We start from the raw sequence: 10,935 nt of genomic DNA on the forward strand, positions 1-10,935 counted from the left end.
GGATATGATTCCTTAAAAAGACGATGACTCCAGTTTATTACGCTGGGAGTTTCATAGCACCCGCCTTTGCTTCCAGCCACCAAACTCAGCTCAGCCTTGAGGTTAAGCCTGCTCCTTTTCAGAACCTTCTTTCTGGATTTACTATTTTCTACAGCTATCCTAAACTAGTTAGGTTCTTTTCCTCACAGTTAAGTCAAGGTCTTTGGCTTAGATTTATGGGGAGTGCTGGGTAAAACCTGGGTGAAGCTGTTATCATTAAAAAGTCTTCATTAAGCACCTAATTACTGCTGTCCTTTTCCTAGACCCGGCATAAAAAGAACCTGGTCCGGTAGACCTAGCCTCTCAGTATGCTAGGAACTTACACTTTTTAGTTGCCTTTACCAAGTATTGCAGATACTACTGCAAATAAGTGAAGAAAGTAACAGCATTTAACTGATTTGGGAACTTGGTTTGATCTTGTTCTAATGACCAACTTCGAATGGTGGTTGAAAGTAAAATCTGTATCGCCGTCTTATGTTTCCATTTACCTAGAAATACTTTACCTTTGAGCACAGGAAATTAATCCCCTTCTGGTTGTTCTCCCCCTGGCATTGGTTTTAAATATATAATGATTATGTTTGTTGTAGGAAAAATAGAAAAACAACTACAATAGAAAATTCTTCCCATATATTATTTTGAAATACATATTTCCGATCCGATAATCCATTGCTCTAGCATGGAAAATGTTGGATTTACTTGTGTTTGCTTTTTCCAAATAAAATGGAACTTTTGTGGCTACATTATAGAATTGTTTTAGACTGCTTAATTCTGTGTGTTGTTGAGAAAGGGAGGAGTGGGGAAGGTAAAAATCTTGACATACTTTCTTCGTGGGTATTTTTTCTTGAGCGATTCCATCTTAGTTGATTAGCAGTTAGCAATTGCCCATTCAACAGAAGGTTTTCTTACCTTTTTGTGATAATGATAGCTAACGACATCATTTCTTCTTTTTTCCCTCTCTTCTTGTTGTCTCTAGGTGATGGCCATTGCCACTTTGGCTGCCTGTTATAATAACCAGCAGGTGTTCAAAGGGGCAGTGAAGATTCGGAAAGGGCAAGCAGTGACCCTGATGATGGATGCCACCAATATGCCAGCTGTCAAAGCCATCATATATCAGTATATGGAAGAGGTGGGTTTTTATTTAACTACTTGGATAATTTGTAGCTACTTTTATGATTTAGTAATGTCACTGTTTAACCAGGTTTGGATATTAGATGATCCTAACAATTCACTATCCTGTGGCCTAAAGAGACAGGAATTGATATCCTTTATAAGGAAAAAAGTCTATTCACAGGAGCCGAGCAGATTGCTCACTGCTGTGTAGTACCCTGGTGAGAGGAGATAAATGGAGCAAGGCTGTAGGTTGGAGCCCCTCAGTAGAATCATAGATTTTGAGCTGCAAGATGATGCAGGAGGCCAACCAAGCTTCTTGTTGCTGGTGAGGAATGTGAGGTTGAAGCTTGTCTGTGCTGATGCAGTGCGTGATTGAGTGGATCTCTGGCTCCCGTCCATGTGTCCTGACACCCAGTCTGGTACTTTCATTATGCCACAGGCCTCAATTGAAAAATCACAGTAGGGAATTTAGGCCAAGGAAAGCCATCAAGTTGCAATTATTTCCTAAATTTTCTTTGGAAAATTTCATTTCAAATACCAAAACCATCCTATAAAAAGAAAACTTACCTTCTTAGGTCAAATCTCTAATATTTGACTAGGTTCAAAAAGTTTATTTCTGGCCAGGCACAGTAGCTTACTCCTGAAATCCCAGCACTTTGGGAGACCAAGGTGGGAGGATCACTTGAGGCCAGGAATTCAAGACCAGCCCGGGCGACATAGCAAGACCCCATTTCTACAAAAAATTTAAAAATTGTCATGGTGGTGCACGCCTGTGGTCCCAGCTACTCAGGAGGCTGAGGCAGGTGGATCACATGAGCCTGAGAGGTCGAGGCTACAGTAAGCTGTGTGATTTCATCATTGCACTCTAGCCTGGGTGATAGAGTGAGACTTTGTCTCAAAAAAAAAAAAAAAAAAAAAAAAAGTCTTAGAGACCAGAAGTCTTTGTAATCTCTAATAATCTCTAGGCCCTAGAGCAGTGGTTTGTAAATGGAGGTGATTTGCTCCCCTCCCCCCAGAGGACATTGGACAATGTCTGGAGACATTTTTGATTGTCCTAACCGGCAGGAATCGGGTGCTACTGGCATCTGGTGAGTAGAGGCCCAGGATGATGCTGTGATCCTCAGGTGTGATCCTGTTGAGAATGAAACACTGTAGACTTTATGAAAACATACAAGACCCTCATCATTTTTCCTTTGCCTGAGCTCCCTCCCCAGAGGTTACCTCTGTTCATGGTTTTGTGCATCCGTCTAGTCCCCCTGTTACGCGTTTACAGGAATATGGTTTGCAACAGTGTTTTCATCTAAATAGAATTATACAAAATAGCGATTTCTGATTTCTCTTGCATATTGCACATTCTTCTTATACTTCCTCCCTACCTTTATCTGACACAGAAATGCTGTATGTCCAGAACTTCTATCAGAGGCACCTATGGAAGTCTAAGGGAAGACCACATCGCTTTTAAAAACCCTAAAATTTTGTAGTCACTAGATGAAAATATTCAGCCAGTGACCCAAAAAATTGCTACCAATGAGACTCTCCATTTTGCCATGTAGCCAGAACTTACTTTGATCTATGTGCCTGGGGTAGTGACCAAGTAGGTGGGTAGGAGTAATCTCAGGGAAACTTGAGGCCCCAGCCTCATGGCTAGGGTCATAATTTGAACCCAGGTCTGTCTGACATCAGAATCCATGATGTTAACCCCAATTCTAAGGGGTTCAACTACCCTTTCTAAATGGAATCCTGCTATATTAAGCACTATTTATTCATTTTATATAAACTAGAAACATTTTATGTAGTAAGTAGTTGAGAGTGTTTTGGTTTTGCAGTTTGATCACTAGTTTTAGAAACCAGTTTTTAAACACTTTGTGGCCAATTCCATTACTATATTAAAATTCAGATTTATTTGGTTTTTCCTTAACTATTGGGATTAAATCCTGGTTGTAATTCATAGTTTGAGGGCGAGGGTGGGCAGTCTACAGTTGGCTGAGCCCTGTTTTTGTGAATAAATGTTATCAGAACACAGCCACACCCATTTGCTTCTTTGTCTTCTGTGGCTGCTTTTGCAATGTGACGGCCGAGTTGAGGAGCTGCAACAGGCGATGACTTGTAAAGCTGAAAATATTTTTTGGCCCTTGAATAAGAGGTTTGCTGACTTCTGACTTAGGGTATCAGTTGTTCTGTTATCCCAGTAAAACTCAAGGCATTAGGGGAGAAATGTTAATATTAATACTTAAGTTGATTTGATTTAGGGAAATCTTTGAAGATTTCTAAGTCTTAAGCAGTAGAACCTGTTAATGGTTTTAGTTTCAGCAGTAAGGACATTTTACAAGTAAAGTTTTAAATGAAAACATTTTGTATGAAGCCACAAGTCGTCTGGCCTCTTGCTGGTGTCCAGATATTAACACTGATCCTATTTCTCCTTGCTGACCAAGTCTGTCCTTTGTAGTAAGAAAGGAAGAAACGTTGACTCTGTCCGATCTCTGGACTTAGTGTTGTAGCGAGCATGCACCTGGAAGGGACTTGCCAGAGGACCTCCTCATGCTTCTCCAGTGCTTAGTGGGGGCTTGGAGTGCAGCCCCAGGTCTTCACGAGCAGTTGGCCACACTGCAGGGCCCTCACCCCACTCTGGAGCAGCCTCTGCTTCAAACCAGCCTGGATGCTTGTCAGCTGGGGAGAAGATCAACCTGCTATTTTGGGATAGAAATAAATGCTCAGCCAAACGGCCAGAAACCCCCATTCCCCTCTCTGCCAAAGTGAATTCCTTGGCAGGGAGAATCTTGTTCGTGTCTCTGCACACTTCCTGTGCCCTCCTGTGGTTAAGTCAGAGAATCATCCGGCTCTTTGAGCCCCAGGTGCCTAGCTGCTCAAGGATGGTCCCCAGCCAGCAGCTGCCAGGAATCACCTGGGAGCCCATTAAGACATCCAGCCCCCACCCAAACGTATCGAATCAGAATCTGCCTTTTTTTCCCAAATGATGTTTTTGCTTTAATGGAAGTTTAGATGTTCATAGACAAGAGTTTTAAATGATGATCAAGCTGATTCCATATTCGCAGTTGTAAGTAGAACTGCTGAGACGTGGAAGTACCACATGGACTCACAGAGGAGCTGCTGTATGTAGCACAGCATTGCACAAGAGCTTATTTCAGTCTAGTAAACATTTATAGGAGCCTGTGTCATTTAATCATCAAGCCTCGCACTGTGGCTCACACCTGTAATCCCAAAACTTTGGGAGGCTGAGGCAGGCAGATCACTTGAGGTAAGGAGTTCGAGACCAGCCTGGCCAATATGGCAAAACCCTGTCTCTACTAAAAATACAACATTTAGCCAGGTGTGGTGGTGCACACTTGTCATCCCAGCTATTCCGGAGCCTGAGACATGAGCATCGCTTGAACTCGGGAGGTGGAGGTTGTAGTGAGCTGAGATGGCACCACTGCACTCCAGCCTGGGCAACAGGGTGAAGGCCCTTTCTCAAACCCCTCAAGTATTTGGCTTCAACTTTATGCCGGGCATGTAGATGAAAAGTCGGCTATGACCTGTCCTTGACAAGCAGATGTAACTCCTTGATTGAGGCTAGTAGGTTTTTAAGACCTGAATAATTGAGTTTGCAGAAACCTACTGTGTGCCTTCAGGTAAATGGAGAGTGGGGTTTGGTCTAGCAACGAAGCATCTAGAAGGTCCCTTTGGCCTTACCGGCTCTGTTTTAGGTAAGTCCACGTCTGAGTACCAGTGACTGCAGCTCTTCCAGTTGTGCTGTCATGCTTATATGTTAGAAATGATCATCAAAGGACTCAAAAGTTTTGCCACTAATTGTATTACCGGGGACTGTCACAACCAAGATTTCTCTTAATTTATTCACCTTACTTATCTCCTGGAAGGGCATATTGAAGTGCTCTTGGAGTTCTCTAAAAGGGTTTTTGTTGGTTGTGTATATTCACTTGGGTGCCAGCGATTGATTCCAAATAAGTAAATCTTTTTTCCCAAAAGGATGTAAGATGGCTTATGGTTATAAGTACAACAGGCTAACAAAGTACAAGTAGATGAGAAAGTAAAATGAAGAAATAAAGTCATAGGAGCCACAGAATTAACCCAGGAATGAATAAGTGTGTAGTTTGGTGCTGATGTTATCATCCTTTATTTGTACATTGCTTGTACAGTTGCTCTGAGAAGGTAAGTCTTAAATTTTCAAAAGTGAAATGTCACCGAGCATGGTGGCTGATGCCTCTAATCTCAGCACTTTGGGAGGCTGAGGCAGGCGGATCACTTGAGGTCAGGAGTGCGAAACCAGCCTGACTTATGTGATGAAACCCTGTCTCTACTAAAAAAAAAAAAAAAAAAAAAAAATACAAAAGTTAGTTGGGCATGGTGGCAGGTGCCTGTAATCCCACCTACTTGGGAGGCTGAGGCAGGAGAATCGCATGAACCTGGGAAGTGGAGGCTGCAGTGAGCCAAGATTGCACCACTGCACTCTAGCCTGGGTGACAGAGCGAGACACCATCTTAAAAAAAAAAAAAAATCTACAATATACCAAAACCATTACTTACCTGAGAAACTATTCTCAGGGTCATTGTAGTGAATGCCTATTTTATGGCTTTTGATGGCATCAGGGCACTCAGGTCATTTACAAGAGTAGTGTGTGAGACCCTGTGTGTCACTGCCACTCATCTTGGCCTTCGGCCACTGCTGTAGCAACCAGTTTCCAAGTAGGGCTGGACCTTGCCTTCTGCTCCAGAGACCTCTCGCTTCCTGCCCTTGGGCTTCTGACGAGCTGCAGGAACTGCCTGGCACGTGGGTCCCCACAACCCAGAGGAGGTGAGGGCCACCTCTCTGCTCCTCAGGGCCACCTTTCATAAGGCTCCTTGAAGGTCCCTCAAGATCAAGCCAACTCAACACATCCTTGATAGGCCTTCCTGCCTTCTGTTTCACTTCTCCACTCGTTTCCAAATAAATGGCTGCATGCAAGCTTTTGCCTCAGGTTCTGCTTTTAGGAGGAAGGCTAAGACAAGCAGTAAAGCAACATGGGCAGGCAGAAGGATGACTTCTAATAGAATTATCTCATCACTATATATTTTACTTTATGGATGCTTGTATTGAAAAGTCTTGGCTGGGTGGAGTGGCTCACGCCTGTAATCCCAGCCCTTTGGGAGGCCGAGGTGGGTGGATCACTTGAGGTCTGGAGTTTGAGACCAGCCTGACCAACACTGGTAAAACCTTGTCTCTATTAAAAATGCAAAAATTAGCCAGGGATGCACGCTTGCTGTGTGCCAGCACAGGGCTAGGCTGGAGATAAAAAGGTGAGTAAGTAGGTGCGGTGTAGTCAGGGTGAAAACTACAGATGGTCCATTTCCACGTAAGTGGAAAGGTAAAGGTATGTACAATAGGGTGGCTCCTGGCTGAACCTGGAGCTGCAGACAGGTTTTCTAGAAGGCATAATCCTGAAGTTGAGACTTGGGGGCCTAGGTAGGAGCCAGTTGAAGGGACGTGGGAGGCGCATTCCAGAGAGAAGGAGTGGTATGAGACTGGAACAGAGGTGTGCAGCAGCATCGCATGGGCGAAACAACAGTAGACAGTTGTTCTTTTGTTTTTGTTTGTTTTTTGAGACAGGGTCTTGTTCTGTCATCCAGGCTGGAGTGCAGTGGCATGATCTCGGATCACTGCAACCTCCACCTCCCAGGCTCAAGTGATCTTCCCACCCCAGTCCCCAAGTAGCTGGGGGACCACAGGTGCATGCCACGATGCCCGGCTAATTTTTGTACATTTTGTAGAAACAGGGTTTTACTGTGTTGTCCAGGCTGGTCTTAAACGCCTGAGCTTAAGCAGTCTACGTGCCTCAGCCTCCTGAAGTGCTGGGATTCCAAACATGAGCCACTGTGCCTGGCCCGGCAACTGTTACTAGACTGTAGAGAGGGAGGTGGGCAAGGGCTGGTGACACTAGACAGGTGCAGTAGGTCTGGACCATGGGTGGCCTTGCGCTACACATTACAGAGCTCAGGCTTTTTTTCTCCAGGTGAGAGGGCTGGTGCCACTGAGGCATCAAGCAGAGGTTTGAGATCTCCTTGGTGACAGTGTAGAGCAGACAGGTAGATTTGGGAATTTAAGCTTAGACTCACGTTGGAGACTGAGATAGCTCATCTGAGAGGCACTCAGGGCCTAATCTCAGGCAGTAATTTTAGGGATGTAGGGGAAGAGATGGATTCTGCACATACTTGGGAGGCTTGTGGAGGAGTGGGGAGGGAGGCACAGGGAGGACTCCAGGGTGGTTCATACGGCTCCCTGCTTCTGTTCCTGTCCCCCTTTGTCAAGCTGTGGTCTGTACTGCGTGTTCCATCTTGTTTCTAAGCTGCTTTTGCCCAGTCTTTCCAGCATTTCCCTTTCGTCATGTTAGTCTGTGCCTGTCTACGTGAACTATGGTGACGTTTATTGGGCCTGGCACTGTGAGGTGCTGGGGATGTGAAGATCATTGTGGCTCAGCCGCTGCTCTCGAGGGCCTCTGGGTGCAGTATGCACACCTGTGCCTCCTGTTTGCTCAGGAAGACAGGCTTTGAGATGAGCTGGGGCTGACATCCCCACCTTATCATTGGGATGGCTTTGGGTAAGTTATGTTCATGTTCTCTGAGCCTCCCTTTCCTCATTGGTAAAATGGGTATAAAATACCTGCCAGTGGAGGGTTGTTGTAAGTAGCCATGGAAAATGTAAAGCACATAGCACTTATCATTTTTTCCTGTGTCTTTAACAGATTTATCATAGAATCCCCGACTCAGACCCATCTTCTAGCAAAACAAGGCAGATCATCTCCACCATCCGGACGCAGAATCTTCCCAACTGTCAGCTGATTTCCCGAAGCCACTACTCCCCCATCTACCTGTCGTTTGTCATGCTTTTGGCTGCCCTGAGCTGGCAGTACCTGACCACTCTCTCCCAGGTAACAGAAGACTATGTTCAGACTGGAGAACACTGATCCCAAATTTGTCCATAGCTGAAGTCCACCATAAAGTGGATTTACTTTTTTTCTTTAAGGATGGATGTTGTGTTCTCTTTATTTTTTTCCTACTACTTTAATCCCTAAAAGAACGCTGTGTGGCTGGGACCTTTAGGAAAGTGAAATGCAGGTGAGAAGAACCTAAACATGAAAGGAAAGGGTGCCTCATCCCAGCAACCTGTCCTTGTGGGTGATGATCACTGTGCTGCTTGTGGCTCATGGCAGAGCATTCAGTGCCACGGTTTAGGTGAAGTCGCTGCATATGTGACTGTCATGAGATCCTACTTAGTATGATCCTGGCTAGAATGATAATTAAAAGTATTTAATTTGAAGCACCATTTGAATGTTCGTAATAGTAGAAAATGATGTGAATTTTCTTTCTGTTCGGCTCCTATTTTTCTCATCATTTTGTTTTCTTTAATTGGGTTGAATGGAGTAGATAGAAATATTTATGGTTTAGGTAACAGTTAGATGTTTCCTAAGAATGCAAACTGCCTTTTCCACACAAAGGCTGGGAATAAAATTCTGGGTATTCTCGTATTCTCATTTAAAGGAGTTTAGCTTTCAGAGAGAAACAGCAGGATTGCTTTTGACCTTTTAGAAGATTGGTCTCCAGTAAAGGTGGACATTTTTGAGATTTTTATAATAAAGAATTTAATTGCTCTGCATTTGTCAAGTACAGTTCGCTTGAAAGCCTGCCTGACTGTGGAAAAGATGGAGCTCAAGAATGGAGTTGATGGCCCAGCGTGGTGGCTCATGCCTGTAATCCCAGCACTTTGGGAGGCTGAGGCGGTCGGATCACGACATTAGGGGATCGAGACCATCCTGGCTAACACGGTGAAACCCCGTCTCTACTAAAAAAAAAAAAAATTAGCCAGGCGTGGTGGCGGGTGCCTGTAGTTCCAGCTACTCGGGAGGCTGAGGCAGGAGAATGGCTTAAACCCGGGAGGCGGAGCTTGCAGTGAGCTCAGATCGCGCCACTGCACTCCAGTCTGGGCAACAGAGCGAGACTCCATCTCAAAAAAAGGAAAAAATTGTAAAAAAAAAAAAAAAAAAAAAAAAAAAAAAAAAAAAAAAATTTCCCCCAGCAGTTTTTGTTTTCTAAAGTTATCAGTTTATATATTCAGGTCTTAAGAAAGGCAAAAGCTGTCTTCAGGTGATTGGCTTGGGGGCAGAACAGTACTTCTGCTCGGGGTTTCACCTTCCTCTCTACTCCAGTGCAGCAGAGCTTGTGATGTGCTCTCACTGAGGTGCTCAGTGCAGCAAGGAGGCCTGTGGACCCTCGAGTTGAGAATTGGTGTACTAGGGCATTCGGTACTTTCTAGAAGCCATTAATGCTACAGGTACTCATAAAGTCTACTCTTCTGCAGCCCATCGTGGATGGTGGCTTAATCATTGAATTTGAGTTGTTTCGAGCTGCAGCGTTGGATTTGCATTGTTGTAAGCACACTTTCTTGCTGTGACCACTGACACCAAAATTAGTTTGGGCCCAGGGAGACTTCAGTTAATTGGTTCATTTGAGGCTTAGCCCTGGACTCATTTGTCACCAGCCAAGATAACTTGCCACATGGAATACAGCCAGACCAGGGGTCCCCGACCCCCAGGCCTAGGACCGGCACTAAACCTTCTGTTACGTGGCCTGTTAGGAACCGGGCATCACAGCAGGAGGTGAGCGGCGGGTGAGTGAACATTATCACGTGAGCTCCACTCGGCGTTAGATTCTCATAGGTGCGATTGCGCGTGTGAGGGATCTGGGTTGCATGCTCCTTGTGAGAATCTAGTCCCTGATGATCTGAGGTGGCAGTTTCATCCCAAAACCATTTTCCTCCCTCTGTCCTTGGGAAAATTGTCTTTATGAAACCGGTCCCTGGTGCCAAAAAGCTTGGGGACCACTGAGCTAGACTCGACAGTATTTTCCAAGGAATTAAAGCCTCAAAACTTGGTTTGAGATTTCAGGGTAGGTTGTTAAAAATCTGTGTGTTGAAATCTAAGATTTAATTCTGCCAAAGTTCACGTTAAGACAGAACAACCTGCTGGAAAGAGATTTGGTCTGAGTGGGGCCTGTGGAAATCTTCTTTCCTGACTTGGTCATTACCTGTGGGACCACTTCCTGAGCTGTGTGGTTTGGGTGATCTCAGATTTTTTCTATCTATAAAGCTATGTGCTTTTTTCTACTCACTGAGTTGTAGAAAGGTATCCGCTCTCATTCCATTCTGAAGCTCTTTGAAAGCTTGTTTTCCTTCTAAGTATCTTCTCTACTAAGGTTGCCAGATATAATAGGGGATGCTGGGCATGGCGGCTCACACCTGTGGTCTCAGCTACTCGGAGGGTGTTGGGGCTGAGGCAGGAGGATCCCTTGAGCTCAAGAGGTTGAGGCAGAGGTTGTGGTGAGCCAAGATCACGCCATTGCACTCCAGCCTGGGCGACAGAGTGAGACTCTGTCTCAAAAAACAAACAAACTTGCATAACTGAAAATTCAGAAGTAGTTGGCCATCTTGTATTTCTGTTTGGTAACTCTGGCAACACTACCCTCTACTCCCCACTTCTAATATAATTTTATAGCATCTCTGGCATACAGTCTATTTGGATCCGACCTAATGGTGCAATATTTTGTTTTCCTCAGAGGAGCCTCTGACCCATGTGAATCTAGGACCATAAACAATTAGAATGCTTGGGAGCAAGAGCTTTATATCTGCATATGGGAACTTCCGGATCCCTGTGGGCAAGTGCAGGGAGGGCCCCTTCTTCCATCTACTGAGCCATTTCCCAGGGGCTCGGGTGTGTATAGGAGGAAGAGGGCGAGTCAGGCA

General features: G+C 44.8%; 1 protein-coding gene across 11 annotated transcripts in view; it reads left to right on the forward strand.

Annotated features, from left to right (window-relative positions):
* Positions 1-8,793, forward strand: part of FDFT1 (farnesyl-diphosphate farnesyltransferase 1) — a 43,717-nt gene extending 34,924 nt beyond the window's left edge. For all 11 annotated transcript variants that reach the window (NM_001287742.2, NM_001287743.2, NM_001287744.2 and 8 more), the window contains 2 exons: positions 1,013-1,165; positions 7,883-8,793. In NM_001287742.2, coding sequence (NP_001274671.1) covers positions 1,013-1,165; positions 7,883-8,104 — 375 coding nt within the window. In that variant the 3' untranslated portion in view covers positions 8,105-8,793. The remainder of the gene's footprint in view (positions 1-1,012; positions 1,166-7,882) is intronic.

Source organism: Homo sapiens, chromosome 8, assembly GCF_000001405.40.
Source record: "Homo sapiens chromosome 8, GRCh38.p14 Primary Assembly".
Lineage (NCBI taxonomy): Eukaryota > Metazoa > Chordata > Mammalia > Primates > Hominidae > Homo > Homo sapiens.